Source organism: Homo sapiens, chromosome 8 (genome assembly GCF_000001405.40).
Source record: "Homo sapiens chromosome 8, GRCh38.p14 Primary Assembly".
NCBI lineage: Eukaryota > Metazoa > Chordata > Mammalia > Primates > Hominidae > Homo > Homo sapiens.
The window spans coordinates 105,864,514-105,887,876 of NC_000008.11; the positions used below are offsets into that span (position 1 = coordinate 105,864,514).

A 23,363-nucleotide genomic window follows, 5' to 3' on the forward strand; every position below is an offset into this window, starting at 1 on the left:
GTCTAATTCCTCAAGGTTTCTCCTGACCCTACCCTTCTCTCCAACCCTTGCTCCCCACTTCCAGCCCCCATCTAGACAAGTGGGTGGGGTCTGAGAACTCCTGTGCTGGGCAGCTCTTTAAAAATGAAGATGCCGGCCTGGCGCAGTGGCTCACGCCTGTAATCCCAAACCTCTGGGAGGCCGAGCAGGCGAATCACCTGAGGTCAGGAGTTTGAGACTAGCCTAGCCAACATACAAAACCCGGTCTCTACAAAAAAATACAAAAAGTTAGCCGGGCGTGGTGGCGGGGGGCTTAGGCAGGAGAATCTCTTGAACTCCAGAGGCGGAGGTTGCAGTGAGCCGAAATCGTGCCACTGCACTCCAGTCTGGGCGAAAGAAAGAGAATCCATCTCAGAAAACAAAAATGAAGATGCCAAGGTCTTCCTCTCCAACCTACCTCCCCTCAAACTACTTAATAAAATCTCTGTTTGTAGTGGTCAAGCATCTCCTTTTGGGGCACATTCCCTGTTGACTCACACCAAGTTTAAGAACCACTGATGACAATCATAGCTTAAAAACATATCTTGGCTGGGCATGGTGGCTCATGCCTGTAATCCCAACACTTTGGGAGGCCAAGGTGGGCAGATCATGAGGTCAGGAGTTCAAGACCACCCTGGCCAATATGGTGAAACCCCATCTTTACTAAAACTACAAAAATTAGCCGGGCATGGTGGTGGGTGCCTGTAATCCCAGCTACTGGGGAGGCTGAGGCAGGAGAATTGCTTGAACCTGGGAGGCGGAAGTTGCAGTGTGCCGATAATGCCATTGCACTTCAGCCTTGGTGACAAGGGTGACAAGAGCAAGACTCCATCTCAAAAAAAACAAAAAGAAAGAAAAGAAAAAAACCATATCTTAAATAAGTCCTCTCTTCACCTCCGCAGCCATCCCCCTATTATCTCTTCACTGTGTGCATTTAAATAGCTTCTTAAATGGTCTCTCTCGACTTTATCCTCTACCCTCTGAGGTCCACAAATTTTCCTACAAAGTTCCAGATAGCCAATAGTTTAGGCTTTCTGGGCCATCCTGTCTCTATTTCTACTACTCACCTCTGCCATGATAGCATGAAAGCAGCCATGGACAATATGTAAACAAACAGATGTGCCTGTGTTTCTATAAAATCTATTTACAAAAAGAAGCAGACAGCCCATTTTCCACATAACTGCATGAGTCATCTTTTAAAATTGAGAAATGGTGGTTTCCTATTTTTCTGAGAGCAACATCTAAATTCCTTATCATAATCTTTAAAGCCCCGAATTATTTGATCCCAGTTTCCATTCCAATCTTACCGGCATACGCACTTTACCCTTGTTCTAGGAATTAAATGGAGACCAGTGTGTCTTGCACTCTAGACATTTTTCTCCATTTAGGTTCTAGAACTCACCATTTTTTTCCCCAGATTAGGGTTTTTTTTTTTAACCTGCTATTCCATTTCTGAAATGCCATTCTCCTTTTTGCATGTAGTTTAGGAGCATGAACAAAGATATTAGCCTGGATTCTAATGGCAGATCTACCATTTATTTGCCTTTTAATACCACTGTTTCTTCATCTTAAAAATGAGAATAATAACAGACCCTATCTCACCAGGTTGTTAGGGGGATTGCACATAAAAGCCTTAAAACTTAGTAAAGATTTAGTAATATTAGATATTACTATGAGCACAATGGCAGGTATATGTGCACAAAGAAGGTATTTGAAAAATGGGTAGTTATTGCAAAATCAAAAGTTCTCTCATAGTCTATGCAGAAATCTGTGTTATCCTTCTATAGCCTAAGAAGATACTGAGTTTCTCAAGGAGACATATGAGCATCTGCCAATTTTAGAAAAATAACTAGGTCAGCACACTTACTACACAAAGTACTTGAAAAGCCTCCCTTCCCACTGCAGAAAATGTTGACATATGCATTTTCCATCATTCGATCCAAAGATGATAGTGGCAAATATCTGGCAGAGCTTTAAGTTACAGCAGAATAACTACCATGAAGAGGCCATGGTTAATTGCTCAGTTCTCAAGCTCTACCAGGCTACTGTTGTGTTTTTATGATGCTTCCTGCGCATTGCTACTAAGAAAAAAGAATGCTGCTTTAGTACAACCATCCCCAGAGAGCAGATTCTCATTCCTCTAACACAGCATGTGGTCAATAGAAAGTAAATGTTAAATTCTCTGGCTAACAATTCAATTAACTAGTGAGGCCTGAAATGCTGTAATTAACATTTCACATAAAAGTACTGGAGACTATTTACTGAGATCTGAACTGTCAGCCCTGTTAATTATTCAAAGACTAGTTAACAGTGACGTTGGTCTCCTTGCCCTTTATTGAGACACAACATATTCTAGGTCAGAAAATGGGTCACAGAGTGTGGTTTAGGAAAAATGAAAGGCATTAAATTTCTCTGTGGACTGCTCTAATGTCGTATTACTGTTTATACATTGGTTGTGTCCCCACGTGTCATGTAACAATCATCAGCTGCGCAGAAAAACACTATCATTCTGGGTAAGATCTGTTCTGTTCACTGATCAATATGTCTATTCTTAGTTCAACATGACGCTGTTTTCATTGTTACCTAGGATCTATCATAGCATTAAGACTTATAACATCTTAATATCTCGTAGGCTAGCTTCTCTTTTCTTTATCCTGTTCTTTTCTTCCACATTTTATTAAGAAATGGGTCAAATTTTCTTATTTCTTTTCATGCCCCATAATTTTGGATTGACTACTAGGCACTGTGTGTAAAAGAACAGTAGAGAATGAAGTAAATCACATTTATATGCAAAAAAAGAAATGCTCCTTCTGTTAGGCTACTAGTATGGGGTCTGAATCCACTTAGACTGTAGTTGACTAGCAAGATCTCTCATGCTTGTGCCAGCAGGAGTCCTGAGGTCTCTCTCAACTCACCTGCTCCCTCACCTCAATCTTTCTCCTGAGATTCCATAAAGGACTGTGAAAACAGAGGGGCACAGAGAGCCTCTCTGTGTCTGAGGATCCTAGAGATACTAAATCATCATATAATACCAGCTCACACTTGGGCTTTAACATCTGTTAACATTTCAACAGATTTCTTTTTCCCTGTGTCTCAGGCAGATTCTTCCTCTTCCTGCTACATGCCAAGGATGAGAGCAGTTTGTGGATCTCATCTTTCCTATGAAGGGCTCATCACTTTCTGGATTTCTGTTCATTAGTTTGTTTGTTTGTTTGTTGTTGTTTTCTTTTTCAGCTATCAATTGGGTTTAAAAACAACATGATTTCTCAGATTGTTCTTATTATTAGGATGAGAGTGGCATATTCTTGCAAGTTTCTCAATCTTAAGCTGAAGTAGACGTCCTTTACTTGGGATTCACAATTAACATGGGTCCATAGACTCCTTTTCCTATCTGGTTTTGGAATCATGATCATGCTAGGCTCATTTTACATTTTCTGCAACAACATGGAAAGCAATAGAAACTCATTGTTCCTTGAAAGTCTGTTAGAGCTCATCCTTAAAACTATAAAGACACTGATATTTGAGGGACAAGATACCTGACTACCATTCTAATTTCTTTAATGCTTATTGACCATTTAAACTTCTTGGTTGTGTGTGTGTGTGTCAATTTGGTTTTTTCTTTGTTTGTTTTACATATTTATCCATTTTGCCTAATGTTTTAACTTATTGGTGTAATTTTCTTAAGCCTTTGTTTTGGAATATTGGAAAACACAGATAGATAAAACCCAGTTCCTGACCTCAAAGAGCTAATAATTGAGAGGCAGATATAAAAGTTATATATAACTACAAAGAAAGGTGATTAGTTGGCTTCCCAGAGGTAGCACAAAAATTTGATGGTAGTACATTCATATTTGATGAATTTACTCAAATCTAGGGTCTCTTTTGTACACAAGAAATATAATCTTAATTGGACTCAGAGAGATTGACTGTCCAGTAAACAAAGTCGTAAGAGACTAATCTGTGAGCATGCATAACAATTTCCTAGAGTGAAGGATCTCCTTTTCAGTGACTAGATGTCTGCTATCTGCCATCCAGGTCGCATCCTTTCCTAGTGCTGAAGCAAAACAGAAAGATAAATTAGCAATTGGCTTATCGGGACAATGTGGTAAAACAAAACAAAACAAAAACACAAAATATATGTTTAAAAATATTTGTTTCATCTATAGTTATTTCTCCTTTTTAATGTTTTATATTGTTTCATTGCATTTTCTCTTTGTTTTTTCTTAGTCTTTCCAGAAGCCTATCTTTCTAATCCAAAGCACCAGTTAATTTTCTCTATTAATTTTTAGTTGTTTCTTTGATTTCTGCACTTATTAATTATTTCCTTTTCTTGTTTCTTTGGGTTTGTTTTGTGACTGTTTTCCAACTTCCTGTGTTGAATACTTAGCACATATTAAATTTAATTATGAAAAAATTAAACACATTTAAATTTAAAACACAGTGTATTAGTCAGGGTTCCCTAGAGGGACAGAACTAATAGGATAGATAAATATATCTGTATCTATATATATTTATATCTCCATATATCTCTCTATATCTGTATTTATAGATCTTGTGATTGTGTAAGTTAATACTTATTGAACTCTCATATATATGATATATATATACAGATAGATAGATATAGATAGCTATAGATATATGTATATATATAGGGGAGTTCAATAATTATTAACTTATACCGTCACAAGATCCCACAGTAGGCTGTCTGCAAGCTTGAGGAGCAAGGAGTGCCAGTCCAAGTCTCAAAACTGAAGAACTTGGAGTCCAGTGTTTGAGGGCAGGAATCATCCAGCACGAGAGAAAGATGTAGGCTGGGAGGTTAGGCCAGTCTCTCTCCTTTTCACATTTTTCTGCCTGCTTTATATTTGCTGGCAGCTGATTAGATTGTGCCCACCAAATTAAGGGTGGATCTGCCGTCCCCAGTCCACTGATTGAAATGTTAATCTTTTTTGGCAACACTCTCACAGACACACCCAGGATCAACACTTTGTATAATTCTATTCAATCAAGTTGACACTCAGTATAAACCATCACACATATAAATAGAGAGAATAGTACAATGTGCCTTAATGTGCTCATCAACCAAGTTCAACTATGCTCAAGTCATGGCCTATCTTATTTCTTCTGTATCTCCATTTCTCTTCCCTTTACTATTTGGAGGGAAATCCTAGACAGTATATCATTCATAAATATTTTAGTGTCAGATGTGAAAGATAAGATTTTAAACACTTAATCAAACTGCCATTATTATATCTTTGAAAATAAAGAAGTAACACCTTAGTATTATTAAATAAATATTCAGTCCATATTCAAATTTCAATGATTATCTCCCATTAGTCTGAATCCATACACTGTACTTGGTTGGCTAATATGTCTTTTAAATCTCCTTCAATTTATAAATTCTTTCCTCTCTTTTTTTTTGTTTCTTGCAATTTATTTGTTGAGGAAATCAGTTTATTTGTCCTGTAGCATGTCCTACAGCCTAGAATTTGCTATCTGCATTCCTGTGCTGTCAGCTAACATGTTCTTTCATCACCTGTGCTGCTTGCTTTTTGTAGTTGAAGTCAAATCAGACTTCGAGTTGCTTTTCTGGCAAGACTATTGCATTTTTAATATTGTATGTTTCCATTGAGAGGCTCATAATGTCTAGCTGTCTTTCTTTTTTGTGATATTGGCGGCCACCAATAATCACTGCCTAGATTCACTAATGCTTTGGAGTTTTTAAAGTGATGAGATTCTAACTTCTTAATTTTTTCTTCTTTTGGTAGCTCAAATGCTTTTACAAAAAGAAACTTCCACTACTAGCTATTTGGTTAGATTGAACATAATTCAGTTTGGAAAGAAACGATGGGTGCTTTGTTTTGTTTTCTCTTTTTATTTACATGATAGCTTTCAAAATAATAAGTTGATTCCTCCACTATTCCTCAAAGATGAGTAATCAAGATTTTGTGTCCTTATGAACTCATGGATTTAAACATATGATACATTTAAACTTATATTTCTATTATTATTCGTATTGATGCTCAAATTATCCCATCTGTGGCCAGTGGGAGCCTTTCAAGTTAGTTTTTGAGTCTAATTTGTATGATCTTAGTAGTCTCTGATAGAATTTTTGTTCACTTTTTAATTTATTTCTGTTTTCTGCAAAGAAGCTCTCAAGACAACTATGTCTTGAGAAAATATTCTAGATTTACCTTGTATATATCGTCCCCATATCTGTAATCAGGCATTTCCTCCAGGAACTGTGTTTCCATTTAAAGGAAAATGGCATTTGGAAACCCTGAAGCTGAACACTACAGAATTGGTCATTGTCTCTAGATATTGTTAATGGACAGTTTTTTTAAAAAAATCATTTTTATAACCTGATAAAGTTATTTAAACTACACATTTACTTCTAAGTTCTGTTTCAGCCACACACTACACATTTTGACTACCATTTTTATTATAATTCCATTGTAAATATTTCCTAATTTTCCTTACAATTTCCTTTTAATTTAAGTGTTATTTGGTAATATGTTATTTAATTTCTAAATATACGGGGGTTTTTTAAGCTTTATGTTTTTATTTTATAATTTTGTTTCCTATGGTCACAGAACATAGTCAGTGTGATATTGATCCTTTGCAACACACAGAGGTTTCTGTTATGGCCTAATAATTACCCACATTTGTAAAAGTTTTCTATTTTATATATAAAAATGTAGAATCCTTTGGTCCTAAGAATTTGGAGAAGTCTAGTGTGAATTTCCAAGAATTTCTTCTCAGGCTTCATCTGTTTTTGTTATTTTTCAGCCCAGTAGGGCTTTTGTGCTGCTCAGATGTTACCAGTGGATGCAGGCTTCAGTGACCAAGACCATCAAGGCTACCGATATTATCAGTAAAAGGGCAGGCAACTATTCTCCCAAGGTAAGGCCAGAAGAAAGCATTCTTTCAATCAAACATTTCCCTGCTGTCTCCAGCTCCCATCTGTCCTGGAATCCAGCTGCTCACATATGCAAACACCACACACACACACACACACAGACACACACACACACACACACACACACACAAGTTCAATATAGATTTCAATCTGGCCTGAAGTTTTTCACGGTTTATTGATTCTCTCTGACTTCTGTATATCCTCCAGATTTGATTTCGATCCAGTAACTTATGCTAGTTCACTATCATGGTAGGAACCAGAAGCTTCCTGTCTATTCTTAGGTTAAGTTATAGGATTAACAGCATTCGAAAATTAATTCATAGATAGCATCTAAGACATCACCTCCAAACTTGAATGTGATGTGAAATGGTCTTTAAAGCACACTAGCCTCAGTTCTCCTAATTTTGGGGAGTAAGGGTACTCAGACTTCTGTAAAGTCATCAACATCCTCAAGTAATAATATCTCCAGAAGATTTTAAGCAGAAAAGAAGAAGATTGGAAAATTGAGATAAATGTGCGTGCTCAAGGCAAGACGTTTTATTTAATGGGGGAAAAGATGAAGACAGGGAGAAACAAGTCTCAAACATGCTCTAACATAATGTTAAAGCAAGCAAAGGTGATATTCCCCCAAGGCAGCTAATTATATTGTAGCAAGCATTCCCATGAAATAATGGATAACTTTCATCTGATCTTTGAGTACCTCTGATCTCAGGAAAACACAGGGCTATATGTATACAGAAGTGAATATTTTTAAATCACCCTTTAAAAAGGAGCATATTCATTTTTATGGGTGTTTATTTTTTTCTGTTTGTGGAAGTATCAAATGTCTTTTATAGAAAATGCAGAAAATTATTTTAAAGTGAAAATATAATTTCAAGCACCATAGAAAATTATTGTTCTTCATTACCATAGCATTTTGCTATAGCAGTGTCCAATCTTTAAAAATGTGTATGAATAATTAAATATGAATTGTATATATGTACACACCTTTATGTAATATGCATAATGTATGTAGATTTAATAACCTTTATAAAATTGATAACATTCTTTCTTACAGTTTTGTGTTATATAGTATAGTGGTTAGAATATATAAATTTAATATCCAGCTATACTAGTCATTAACTGTGGGATCTTGGACAAGCTACTGAACCTCTCCAATATTTTATCATTGATGCATATTTTCAGCCTGGAATTTAAAGATCTAGCTGCGTTTTTATTAATATATAGCTATATTTCCTATAATCATCTATTTAACAATGTATTCCTTTCTAACTAGACTGTAGTCCTTCCTTTACCATAGAGTGAGTTCTTATGTCTATACTAAAATTTGTTTTAGTCTATTTAGCTGATACATATATATATATATATATATATATATATATATAATCATTAGTGAATACCCCTGTTTAGATCAGCTATAAAATGTATTTTAATATCTAGTATGGCAATCTTCACCACTGTATTATTTGCAATATAACATTAGTTTTTTTTCTCATCCATTTATTATTATAGAAGAAGAACATTAGGAATATTTTGTCTTAAAAACTCTCCTTAAAATAATGTATATCTTTATAGTATTCGTAGTACTTTCTGTAACTGTTCACATTGTGCCTACCAGTTTTAGGCTAGAAGATGTTGCAGGTGTTTCCTGTGCATTATATTTCATCCCTTCAAAAACCAGTTCAGATAGATAAAATTATAGCCATTTTTAAGTGAAGAAACTAAAGTTCAGGCAAATAAGTAACATGGTCAAGGTCACAAAATTAGTAAGTAGCAGAAATAAAATTTGAATCCAGATATACGTATTTTTTATTTCAACAATGTTACAGTCTTCTTTGCATAGTGTCACACTGCTCTTTTCAACCGGGAAAGTGAATAATTGCTTTACTTATATATTTGGTAAGGCACATTTGGAAAAAAGGAAGAACATTCCACCTACAAGAAAAGAGAAAGAAAGACAGTTGCAGGAAGGACTGACTGGAGAGGAAGTGTCTGGAAATGGGGTCTGAGTTCAATGCCACGAACAAGCAAATGCTAGGCATGTTGCGAACAAGAAGCAAGCATATTAGGTCATCCAGCTGTCACCATACTTTATTTCCTGCTCAGAGTTCAATGGTCCTTGTGTTTTGCTCCCAAATTCTATTTAAGTATGCTGGGTTTTATGTGAAAATGCCATGATAAATAAACATAAGAATAAAAAGAATAAGAGCTATCATTTTGTCAGTCATATCATGTACTAACTCGTCATCTGATTACTTAATCTAATTCTGATTTTTCTTAATTTATGCATGTGGAAACTGAGCCTCAGAGACATTATCTAATTTGGCAAAACACACGTACACACACACACACACACACACACACACACACAAATAAATTAATTAAGAAAATACAAACCTTCAAAACTTATAGCTATTAAGTTATAGAGATGGAATCCAAACCAACATCTGAGTATGTCACTGACTTACCACAATAAAGTTGGGGTAAGATTGCGAGGTTATCAACTGCAAGTAAGGCTGTAAAGACATATCTAACCTGTCAACTGATTTTACGACCTCCAGCCACAAGTAGTGACAAAGCCAGGCTAGATGCTGAGTTTTTCTTTATTGTTTCCAGCCAAAAACAGAGGCCAAATCCACAACTGTCCCTGATTAATAAATGAGAAGCAAAGGGAGCAATCTGGTACCACTGTGAGAAACTAGCTTATGACTCATGTATCTGGAAGTAGAACATGATGTTTCCTTATGCTCTCAGGAGGACCTTGCCTTTATTTGCCCTACAGCACTTTCCCCTCTGTTTCATTTAAACTCTAGAAATGCTGGATATGGTCAGCGTAAGTTGTATTTGTAATTTCTTAAAGAAGTACAAAAGTTAGACAATTACCAAGGTGGTAGGAAAAGTACCACTCCAGCTGGTTACAAGTATACATATCTCCTATAGATCCAGAAATAATTGCTCAACATCCCTTCTTCATTAGACTGCAAGGTCCTTAAGGGCAGCAGTAATAATAATTAACAGTTGTTCATTTAGTGTTTTCTCAAGATAAGCTATCATACTTGAGTCCTCACAACAACTGTAGAGGTAGAATGTATTATCATAGACTTTTCAAGCTGTTCCAAATGCAAAACAGGGAATTCAAAGCAAACTGTCTGTAGTAACACTGGTAGTGGATGATGGGTTGAGTTGGAATGCAGCAAATGAGCTGTGGGACATGCTAGGGTCTCAGTGACACAGACTAGTAATAAAGAGAGGGAAGCACTAACTGAAAAGCCATCAACACAGCTACTAGTTGTGAGAAGATTGGCTCTTGGCAAGGTATGACAATCACTGTGCGGGGAGGAGGTTATTAACATGATTAACATGGATATAGTTTGGGTCATCTTTTGTGCAATAAAATATTTATTAAACATTTTAAATCATGTTGTGTAGTGATTAGCATAGTATCTGGAACATGGTAGGGACAAAATAAATGTTTAATGAGTAAATCAACTTGGATATTTCCAATGACACAGACTTACCTCCTGGTAGAGCCTATATTGCTGAAACTGGTCTTCATGAGAGCCATGTCTGTCTTTGGCCTTGTTGAGCCAATAGTAGAATAGAGTTTTGCTTTTAGGAAGATACATGACGAGACTTCAAAAACTTCATGGAAATGGAATTAAAAGATAAAAATAAAAATAAAAACTTTATTTTCCAGCCTAAGCTTCACCAAGGTCAGGACACCTTGGAAGCAATGATAACAGCTATTTAGTCCATCCCTAAGGAACTGAGGGTTCTAGGAATTTAATCATGTCAATTCAGCCTTTTTTACATTGTTAACTGAATAAAAATGGATGTGTTTTAAATAATTTTTTTTTTTTTTTTTTGAGATGGAGTCTCACCCTGTTGCCTGGGCTGGAGTGCAGTGGCACCATCTTGGCTCACTGCAAGCTCCGCCTCCCGGGTTCACGCCATTCTCCTGCCTCAGCCTCCTGAGTAGCTGGGACTACAGGCACCCGCCACCACACCTGGCTAATTTTTTGTATTTTTAGTAGAGATGGGGTTTCACCGTGTTAGCTAGGATGGTCTCGATCTCCTGACCTCGTGAACCGCCCGCCTCGGCCTCCCAAAGTGCTGGGATTACAGGCGTGAGCCACCATGCCGAGCCTAAATAATTTTTTTTAAGACTAAGAAACAAAAAAAGTAGGAGCCAAATCAGAACTGTGAGGTGGATGCCTAATGATTTCCCACTGAAACTCTCATAAAATTGCATTTGTTTGATAAGAGGAATGAGCAGCAGCACTGCCATGGTGGAGAAGGACTCTGGTGAAGTGTTCCAGGCATGTTCCTGCTCAAACTTTGGCTAACTTTCTCAAAACCCTCTCACAATAAGTAGATGTTATCATTCTTTGGCCCTCCAAAAAGTCAACAAACAAAATGCCTCGAGCATCCCCAAAAACTGTTGCCATGACCTTTGCTCTTGACTAGTTGGCTTTTGCTTTTTGATTGGACCCCTTCTACTTCTTGGTAGCCATTGCTTTGATTGTGTTTTGTCTTCAGGATCATACTGGTAAAGCCATTTTTCATTTCCTATTATAATTCCTCGAAGAAATGCTTCAGGATCTTGATCCCACTTGTTTAAAATTTCCATTGAAAGCTCTGCTTTCATCTGCAGCTGACTTGGCTGCAACGGTTTTGGCACCCATTGAATAGAAAGTTTGCTCAACTTTAAATTTTTCAGTCAGAATTGTGTAAGTTGAGCCAGTTGAGATGTCTGTGGTGTTGGCTATTATTTGTGCTGTTAATAATTTGTCCTCTTCAATTAAGTCATGGACAAGATGAATTTTTTCCATGAAAACTGATATGGATGATTAGTGGCTGCAGGTTTCATTTCAACATTGTCTTGTCCCTTCTTAAAATGAGTTATCTACTTACAAACTAGTGACTTTGTTACCATAGACTCCTTGTAAAGCATCAATGATTTCACTATTTTTCCATCCAAGTTTCATCAGAAAAATTTGATGTTTCCTCAGCAGAATCCATGTTGCTATGATAGGGGCTCTTTTCAAACTGATGTCTTATTCTTCTTCTTAGTATTCCAAAGTAGATCCTGCTCACACTTGTTATACCTAGTTAATATAAGTTTATGTTGGTGCAAAAAACTTTTGAGATTTATGCATAGTTTTTTGTTGTTGTTGTTTGTTTGTTTTGAGATGGAGTCTTGCTCTGTCACCCAGGCTGGAGTGCAGTGACACAAACTCGGCTCACTGCAACCTCCACCTCCAGGGTTCAAGCAATTCTCCTGCCTCAGCCTCCCGAGTAGCTGGGATTACAGGTACCCACCACCACACCCAGCTAATTTTTGTATTTTAGTAGAGACGGGGTTTCACAATGCTGGCCAGGCTGATCTTGAACTCCTGACTTCAGGTGATCTGCCTGCCTCAGCCTCCCAAAGGGCTGGGATTACATGTGTGAGCCACTGAACCTGGCCAGTATATGTATGTATTATATGTATTTATTATATATTTATATATAATAAATATATAAATATATAATATATTTATAAATTTAATATATATAATAAATAAATATATAAATATAATATAAAATATATAATATATAGTTATATATATTATAATATATATAAATATAATATATATAATAAATATATAAATATAAAAAATATAAAAAATATATAAATATAATATAAAATATATACTCTATAATATACATTATATATTATTAAATATATATAATATATATTATTAAATATATATAATATATATTATTAAATGTATATAACATATATTATTAAATATATATAATATATTATTAATATATATAATATATATTATTAAATATATATTATATGTATTTATTAAATATATATAATATGTATTTATTAAATATATATTATATGTATTTAATAAATATATATAATATATATTATACATTATATATTATATAATATATATTTATTATATATTATATATTACATATTATATATTATATATTACATATTATATATTTATTGTATATTATATATTACATATTATATTACATATATTATAATATTACATATTATTATATAATTATATATTATATATAATATAATTATAGAATATTATATATTACATATTATATATTTATTATATATCATATAATACATATATAATATATATTATAATTTATTATATATTATATATTATATAACATAATTTATTATATATTTTATATAATATAATTTACTATATATTATATAATATAATTTACTATATATTATATAATTTACTATATATTATATAATATAATTTACTATATATTATATAATATAATTTACTATATATTATATAATATAATTTACTATATATTATATATTATATAATTTACTATATATTATATATTATATAATTTACTATATATTATATATTATATAATTTACTATATATTATATATTATATAATATAATTTACTATATATTATATATTATATAATTTACTATATATTATATATTATATAATATAATTTACTATATATTATATATTATATAATATAATTTACTATATATTATATATTATATAATACAATTTATTATATATTATATATTATATAATATAATTTATTATACTTTCCATGAACTTTTTGAAGTCACCCTGTAGTTTACATATGAATAGGAATTAGGAAAAGAGCTGGTGCAAATGCCAAGCTGGGAATACATTACTATACACTGTCAATTAGCAAATGGAAAAAGAAAGAGCAGAAAATATCATCATCAATTTTACGCTTTTCCTAAGGTTCAAGAGAAGAAAAGAGGAGTAGCTGAAAAACAGGAGATTTTGAATATAGGAGAGAATAAAAGAAAAAAAGCAAGACTTAACAGTATCTCTGTTTCCTGTGATGGTTGTAACAAAGTACCGAAGTTGTGCTTTAACATTAGACATTTATTCTTTCACAGTTTTCGAGGCTAGAAGTAAAAAATCAAGGTGTTATCAGGGTCATGCTGCCTCCAAAGGGCTTATGGAAGAATCTTTCCTCACTTTTAGCTTCTGATTGTTGCTGGCAATTCCTAATGCTCCTTGTCTTGTAGATGCGTCTCTCCAATCTCTGCCTCCATTGTTTCCTAGTTTTCAGTACTTAGTTATGGTAGCTCTAAGACCCTAATACAGGCTTTGTACAGAAAAATGGGATGTTGCTCTTATAAATACTTTAAAATATGGAAGGTTAATGGGTAGAGTCTAGAAGAATTTTAAGGCACTTAATACAGAAAAAGGCTAAATTATCTGGAAGAGGCATCTAACGTACTGAATAATGGAATAAAAATGTCTATCTTGGCCGGGTGCAGTGGCTCATGCCTGTAATCCCAGGACTTTGGGAGGCCAAGGCGGGTGGATCATAGGGTCAGGAGATCAAGACCATCCTGGCTAACATGGTGAAACCCTGTCTCTACTAAAAATATAAAAAATTAGCTAGCCAGGCGTGGTGGCGGGCGCCTGTAGTCCCAGCTACTCAGGAGGCTGAGGCAGGAGAATAGCGTGAACCCAGGAGTCGGAGTTTGCAGTGAGCCGAGATCACGCCACTGCACTCCAGCCTGGGCGACAGAGCAAGACTCCATCTCAATTAAAAAAAAAAAAATGTCTGTCCTGTCCTGTCCTGTCCTGTCCTGTCCTGTCCTGTCCTATCCTATCCTATCCTATCCTACCCTATCCTATCCTGTTCAACTATTGTATTTTGGAAGCAGATAACTTATCTTCTAGTTTTACAGGTCTACAGATAGAGAAGTCCTGTCCAAAGATTGCAGCATCAACTCTTGCCTGCTGATCTGTCCTACAGATTTCAGATGTGCTGCCCCACAATCACACGAGCTATTTAAAACCTAAAATATCTTTATATGTATATATATATATATGTATTTACATATATATTCACACATATATGTATTTACATATATATTCACACATATATGTATTTACATATATATTCACACATATATGTATTTACATATATATTCACACATATATATGTATTTACATATATATTCACACATATATATGTATTTACATATATATTCACACATATATATGTATTTACATATATATTCACACATATATATGTATTTACATATATATTCACACATATATATGTATTTACATATATATTCACACATATATATGTATTTACATATATATTCACACATATATATGTATTTACATATATATTCACACATATATATGTATTTACATATATATTCACACATATATATGTATTTACATATATATTCACACATATATGTATTTACATATATATTCACACATATATGTATTTACATATATATTCACATATATATTTAAAAAATCTGATTTTGATTTTGTTCTGTGGAGAACACTGACTGATGTAAACAGCAATAAAAATCTCTCTCAATATGCTGCATACATAAATTAGCTTTATACTGAAGTTAGATCATTGAGTAATGCTAGAATTGATCATTTAGCTGGTTTGATTTCTTCAAAGCTTCAAGATATGCAGGAAGCCATGTTAATTGATAGCATAAAATGTTTTTGTAAGAATCATGGAAAATAAATATAAAGGTTAATTACATTTTATCAAATCTTAACCATATATGCTATTATGTTTCCTTGATCTGATAAGAAGGCAGCTGGTTGGAGATATATATATATGGTTTGCCTTATACATGCACAGGTGATATTTGGAGATATACACATATATATACACACACACATATTATATGTAGATAAAGAATTTAGGATATGGGAGTCTAGGTCAGAGCTTCAATATATATTTAAATATAAACATGAAACAATGAGGTTGATGATGATATGATGATCAGCTGACTACACACAATACAGTATTTCCTCTCTTCCCTTTGACTATGTCAAATCTCTCCTTACAAGACTTTTAAATTATTTTTAAATTTCTAGTAAAGGAAGATCCAGTTACATGCTGTGATTGGAGACTCCATGTTATGCTAAGGAACTTATTCATAAACATAAATATATTAAGCTCCTAATATTATACACAGTGAACACCTATTATACTGATACATTGTTCTCTTAAAGCTAAATTCAGGCATCCATTGAAAAGTTTAAAAAGTTTAAAGCTAAATTAAGCATTGACAAAACACTAAAGGAAAAAACTTGGTATTTGAAACTACAGACAATATATGATATGCATTAAAAAGGCCTCCCCTGAAATATATATAGCTCTTTGTGATAGTTTTACAAGGGTATCTTTATATGTTCTATTTACCTGCATTCTTTTGTTCTTATTTTAAGCTTATGTCTGACAATGGCAATGGGATTTGGCGCATCAAAAGTGAATGTGGAAGAAATTAACAGTTGCTATTGCCTCTTGTGTTGCAAAAGGTTTACGTCTTTTTTTTTTTTTTCGACCGAGTCTCACTCTGTCACCCAGTCTGGAATGCAGTGGGGCAATCTCGGCTCACTGCAAGCTCCGCCTCCCGGGTTCACGCCAGTCTCCTGCCTCAGCCTCCTGAGTAGCTGGGACTACAGGCGCCCGCCACCATACCTGGCTAATTTTTTGTATTTTTAGTAGAGACGAAGTTTCACCATGTTAGCCAGGATGGTCTCGATCTCCTGACCTCGTGATCAGCCCGCCTCGGCCTCCCAAAGTGCTGGGATTACAGGCGTGAGCCACCGCGCCTGGCCACAAAAGGTTTATGTCTTAAGTGATCACCTCACTTGAAGTTGTGTGAAAAACGTGGTACTCTCATGCCCAGCGGTCATAGCTTAACTTTGTATTATCAGAAAATCCAATGAGATGTGACTAAAAGGAAGAACTTCTACCAATATTCGTGGTTGTCAGACTGCTGAGAATAATTATGACTAAATATATGTGACATGGAAAGACTGGTCATAAATGCATAAAATTCTCATTTATGGTATCTATTTTTAGAAAGCAAACTAGGTCCACACTTGGGTGTCTTCTCTTGTTCTCATTTAAATTCCGTGATTGAAGGGTACTGTGGATTGAGTGGGAATTACTCTGCTCTACTAAGTTCCTTGTGGGTTCATTGAGGTTTCTCCATATTGTCTGATATCTCGAAGGTCTCCAGCCCTGTGTGGTCTCTAATAGCTGTTTAGCTCGAAACTCCTCTTACTTGTTCTTTTTCTTATAGATAGATATTCACTGACTGACTTCATGGAGGAGGTTTGCCTTATGCATGCACAGCTGATATTTTAGAACAAAACTCAAGGGGTCACTTACACAAGTTTTGGCAGCTGTTTTTCTGCAAGCTCTGTTCTCTCTGTTATCGTGTTTCACAAATCCTAGCTACCCCAATAGTGTCTCACTTCATCTCTACCTTCTGACTTCAGCAGAACCATAGTGCTGTGTTTGTGATTCCCCACCTGTGCAGCCACTGACAGTGCTCCCAGAGAGAAGAATCACATCATCTGGGGCTCACCTCGCTTGAACTTATTCTCAGAAATCACAGACCTGCACTGCCAGTTTTCCAATATCTGAAAATAGTTATTTTGTATATTTTGTTCGGTTTTACAGTTGTTTTTGGTTGGTCCATTACAAGCTACTTTATCACGGCCAGAAGCAGGAGTCTCTAGGAACACATGTTTTATGTGTGTGTGTGTTTTTCCCCTTGGGAGTAACTGGACCATCCAGATAGTATAAACACAAATCTCAACCTGGAAATCATTGAAATTGTCTTCTACTCTAGACTAAAAGAGGATACTACCTTGTCCTCTCCCTGTGTTAACTGGTAAATTGTTTCTAGATTGCCAGCCTTTCACTGAATATATAAACCCTTCATTAAGAGGGGTCTTTTTCTTAATTATTTCATGAGGGTCGAAATTTAAATTCCTAGATTAATGAGTTTGAATTGCCCTTCCACGATAGTCACAATTTCATTACATAGCTCTTGCCCTGATTTTGTTTCCTTCTCATTTCTGGCTCCTGGTTATTTCCCTTATTGGCCTTTGAGCTGAACTATACATTTAAAAGAATATTTATTACATTGGGTTGGTCAGGGTGTGGCGTAAGAGGGACTCTCATGAATAGCTTGTGGAAGTGTCAATTGTATAACTCTTTGGAAGAAATTTGCAGATTCTATTAACCTTCCAAAGGTACATACATGCCTTACGACCCCAAAATTCCTCATAGAGGAATTTAGTTTACAATTATACATATTTAAAGTAACAAATGCACAAAGAATATTAATTGCAGTATAATTTGTAATGGCAAACTTTTGAAACAACTTAAAAGCCATCATTAGGGCTAAAATACAACGTATTTTATAGTCAAACAACACAGTTTAGAGGAAAAAATGAAGCTCTCATGTTTAGAAGTAAAACTATCTCTAAAATATATTAAATTAAATAGCAAAATAAATTATAGCATGTATATTATATATTCTTTATATAAGCATAATATATATTTTCCTTATATATAATGTAAAATGGTATATATAATCATATATAAATATATGATCATATATGTGATATACAATCATATAAAATATATCTTACATGATATATAGTATACAAATATATATGATATAAGATACATATCATATATAAACATATGTGATATAAGATATATATCATACATGATATATCATATATAAACATATGTGATATATGATATATATCATATATGATATATAATATATAAATATATGTGATATATGATATATATCATATATAAATATATATGAAATATATATTTCTTTTATATATTATACATAAAAATATTTATTATACTTAAATATCCTATAATTTATATATATCACATATATGATATATATCTCATAGCTTCAGCAACTTACATGATGAGCTGGTGATTTTTATGATTTCTGTGTAAGAAAGCAGAGCCACTGCACACCGAGATTGGGGAAAGAGTTCATCATAAATACTTTTTTGCATCTTATGGTTATACCATGCAAATATATTACCTCTTGAAAAATAAAATACTAAAAAGCAAAAAAAAGATTTTGTTTGCAGCATTTTGTCTAGCAAATCTATGTGTTGTGGAAGAGTTTTTGACTTATTAAATCTACAATATGTTCAGAACTGGAAGTCTGACTATGACTAATATAATTGCATATTTCCATATTAGTAAACTCAATAATTGTTAAGAGTTACGAAAGCAAAAACAAAATATAAGTACTATATTCTTTATAACTTCAGGCCTACTGAAGGGGTTCTACTTTTTTAATAGCCCATGCAGAAAATCCTGTTAGGGGTTTGATTGGCAGTAATAGCAATCCATGGTATGGTATGGTTGACTAAACGTAGAATTCAAACATAGGCTATGCCAGTAGGAATACAGTGCCTAGAATAAACTAGAAGTTGTTTCTATTTTACTGTATACTGATAAGACCATTCATGAAATAATGTTTGCTTTGACTGCAAAACACTAAGAGGAAGATACATTGTCTTAAGTACCAAGAAACAGACTCAGAAATGAGGACTTATATAAAAGTGGTTTTTTAAGGAAGTAGTTGGAGAAAGATTGCCCTGAAGCAGGGCAGGGGAGGAGAAAAAGCCAAGCAGGGCATAATTCTGTGTCAACCTGATTCTACAGGAAACCTCTCAAATGGAAGATACACCTCAAAGTTGTCCAGAACAGAGGCAAGGGAATCAGGTTTTCAAACTTCCCCATTAGTACTCTTGGCTCAAAGTTCCTGGCCTTGGGGAATAAATTTCCAGGCATGCTAGCTGTCTGCTTCCCTGCTAAAGAGTCTCCAGGAGGCCAATGACAGTCCTAAAAAAAACAGACCAGGCAAAGCACACCTAAAAAAGAAATACGCAAGCTATGGCATATGACTCATTGAGCTATACAATATTTATCTAAGATGCCACAATATTCTCAGGAAGGAATGAACATAGTCTTTAAGTAATCTCTTGTGGAAAAGGGTTAAATGTGTTCTGTATGGCCTCCAGAAATTAAATAAAACTTCTGGGTAGAAGGAACATCAGGAAGGATGGAGTTGCCCTGAACATTTTAACAGAGTTCCTTATAAATGTGATAGCCTATGTCAGGATGTGGGAGTCCATAATTCTTAGGTGTTTGGGATCATCCAACCAAAATAGTAGAGAATTAAGATGTGATTTCCATAGCTCCAAATGTAGCTCCTAATTTGTGATCAGACTAGACAATCAGTTGTCGTATTTGATTCTCTGAATATATTTTAAGAAGATGGTAATATCCTACTAACTACAAAATTTTAAACTTCTTTCCAAAAAATTGCACTTGTATGAAAATAAGGTTTTTCTTATTAATTTTTTATTTTCCCTGCAACTCCTCACATTACATAGCCATCTTCTGGAAAAGTTTATGTCCAAGGTAATTTGGAGCTAAAAGAATGAAAACAAAACAAAAAAAAAGCACGTCCATATCTTCCTGCTTTTTTGTTTGCAGGGCTATGAAATAAGAAAATAAAATTTAATTAAATCCCAGAAGGAGATCATGACCCTATGTGGAGACCTTCTGAGAAAAAAACTTTCATTCTTTTACTGCTCTTTCCTCTGTCTTTCGTGTTAATTTTTAAATAGCTTTGTATACTTAGGATCCTAGAAACATAAACATTTAGGTGTGGAGAATGGGCCTGTAAAGAAGAACTTGAGGGACTATCGTAAAATGTAAGTAAAGTTAAATTCCCTGACTGATCAAAGACACGGAGCACCACATCTCTTAGGAGATTTTACGTTTAAGAATTATGCAAATAGGACAGTCAGAAATTGAGAGAGATGGGACAACCATTTTCTGTTTCTAATAGTCCATGTCCAATCCTTCAAACTGAGGCTTTATCAACTTTTTTTTTTCTAGAGAGCAGAAAATCCTCACTAGCAGGAGCTATTTAAACTCTCTGGCCTTGCACTGAAACTGCAGATTTGGCAGTAGCAGGTTTCAGCTGGATTTTCTGGGCAGTAAGTAATGCAGCAGCAAATTTACTCTTTTTAATATAATGGCAACAGTCCTTGGAAGGAATGGGAATGACTTCAGGCAGTGCCAAATTTTAAATGAAAAAATCTAACTATAGCTTTTCTTTAGCTCTCTGGGAGCGCTCTGAATGATTGTGCGGGAAACCAAGGTTAAGGGTGACCTCAGCGGACTGCTTCGGTGAATCGCTCAAGGTATAGCTTAGGTCAGCTCACCCACACCTGGCCCCTGTGGAGGATTTGCAGTTCTGTGACAATGTGAGAAATACGAAATTTAAAAGCAACTTAGCTGGGTTGAACCAGTGTAGAGCTGGTATCAACTGAAGAAGGTTTACTCTGATCTCTGAGCCCTTGAGCTACTGCAGGAGAAATAATCAGAGTTATAAAGTATATACCTAACTTACTGTGTAAGCCAGGCAGCTAGCTCTTGTGGGCCTTTCTGAATCCCATACCAGGCAGGGGTGAGTCACTGAAGAAGCAAAGGAGACATCATGATACACATTCATCATTGTGTGGGTGTCAGAGGAAAACAGCTGCTTATTTCTGATTTCTTTTCTCACTCTGCAACCTTCTATCCCTTGACCTTCCCATCTCCACTACACCTTAAGAATGAATCTTTTTATAAAAGCAGACTCATTTGCATATAATAAAGTATATCTCAGGTAATCGCTACCAATTTGAAAGTATATTTTTGGAGCAGATGGCATAATCTGGACCTAACTATTCTTAACACATGCCAGAGGATGTCCAGAAAATTCATGGGATAGGGTAGCAAAAGATCTCTTTGTAAAGGGGATGGAACTCTAAGTGAACAGGAAGCAAGAACAGAATTAAAATGCTAGTAAACTTGAAGGCAATGTACAACACATGCACATACAACTCTGCCTTGGGACTCCCATCAAAAACTGTAAGAGAAAAGGGGAAAGTGGCTTTCCCCTCCCTTGTTTTCAGGCAGTCTTTCAGTTTTGCACCTCGAGGGCTCAGTGCATCAGTGACGTGCCCAATCGGAGACTTCAGTAATTGTTATTAGAAGGTGACAGAGCTGGCGTCCATCTGGTGAAACAGTATCCAGAAAAAGGATCTGTGCTTCCAAGAAGATGCAGCAATACCCAGCCGGAACAAGAGCAGAGCTCAAGATGCATGGCAGTTGCACAGAGGCAACAATGTCCGCTGGAGGCTGCAGCAGTGGTACCGTCTCTGCAAGGGAGCTGATCTAAAGTGATGTAGACAATTCTCTAATGGATATGCATGCTAAAACTTGGGCAAAAGGAGCTTTTCAGGGCTTTGAAGTATGGCATAAATGATGGCAGCCGCAGCCCGTCTGGAGCAGCTGCTGCCATGATGCTGGCTGCAGTGGGAGGTGCGGCCGGGGTTGCATGCTCCATGGAGTGCCAGCCATGGAAGCTGCTTGCGGTACAAGTGGTCCAGCCGCAGCCTCACAGGGAGCCAGAGCCCATATCAGCGGCTGGAGCTGCCCACCCTGCCACAGCTGGTGTGCCTGGCTGTGCGCAGTGGCCGGACCCCACATTTGTTCGCTCACACACCCCTCAATGCTCCGTGCCTGGCTCGTCCTTGGCAGGCGTGAGATTCGGGCTGGTACCACGAGCAGAGCACAGCCTGCCAGGCTGAGTGGGCAGAACGAGCCCGGCAGGCCCAAGTAAAAACTCAGGCAAAGGCGTCACTGGCCACAGAGATTTCTAGCTGATGAAGTGACATCCCCAAATATCCTGTGACATAAACAAATAGAGGAAAGAGTCAAAAAGTAATATGTTGTTCTTCTTATCAACATGAATTCATGGATATGCACTGGTGGATTAGGACTATGAAAACAAAACAATGTTCCCTAGTCACCAGGTAAACACAAATTAAAGCCACCATGAGATAGCACTACTCATTTGCAAAAACTGAGAAAACTGAACACCAAAACAAAGAGTGGCCCTTGCTTTACTTTGCACAGTTTGACTAGGTGACCTGGGATTCCTTTCTTTCACACAGGCTTCCATGAACAATGGGAAATGGTACAGAATCTAATCACAGAAAAAGAGCCATGGGAGGAAGCCAAGCGCACAGACCTCGCAGCAATTCCCTTTAACAGGCTACTGGAGCAAAATAGCAAGAGAGGATCACTAGCATACCATGCCAAGGTGGAAGCCCCTCTAGTTCCAAACTCTACAAGGAATAAAGTGATTGAAATGGTTACTAACCTGGTCAATATCAACACAAACAAACAGAACAGAGCTAGCAGTCACCACCAACAAAGTGTCCGTATTCTGTGTGTATCAGTGCTGCTTATTCCAGGCAAACCTTCTAGATACCCCAGGTTTTACTACCCCAATGCTTTCCCAGGAAATGCAACACTGTACCAGGTAACATCAAAGAAAAATTCCTAAAGATTGTTTCCTCAAGAAAAAGAAATAAAATATCTTTGGAAGCAGAAAATAAAATATGTAAGCATTTGGCCTACATTTTTTAAGTTCTTTCCATGAATAATATATTTATCAGTAAAATAAAAGATG

At 35.4% G+C, this 23,363-nt stretch overlaps 1 long non-coding RNA gene across 2 annotated transcripts in view, besides 1 other annotated feature; it reads right to left on the minus strand.

Moving 5' to 3' along the window:
* The window catches only part of ZFPM2-AS1 (ZFPM2 antisense RNA 1), a 280,094-nt gene that overhangs the window by 84,104 nt on the left and 172,627 nt on the right, over window positions 1–23,363 (minus strand). The gene's annotated exons all lie outside the window — the stretch shown is intronic.
* Window positions 21,811–22,337: an enhancer, noted in NCBI's record as "H3K4me1 hESC enhancer chr8:106898552-106899078 (GRCh37/hg19 assembly coordinates)". NCBI's record gives its function as "activates a minimal SCP1, AML or CMV promoter by ChIP-STARR-seq in naive H9 embryonic stem cells {active_cell/tissue: H9 hESC(naive)}" and the evidence as "EXISTENCE:reporter gene assay evidence [ECO:0000049][PMID:30033119]".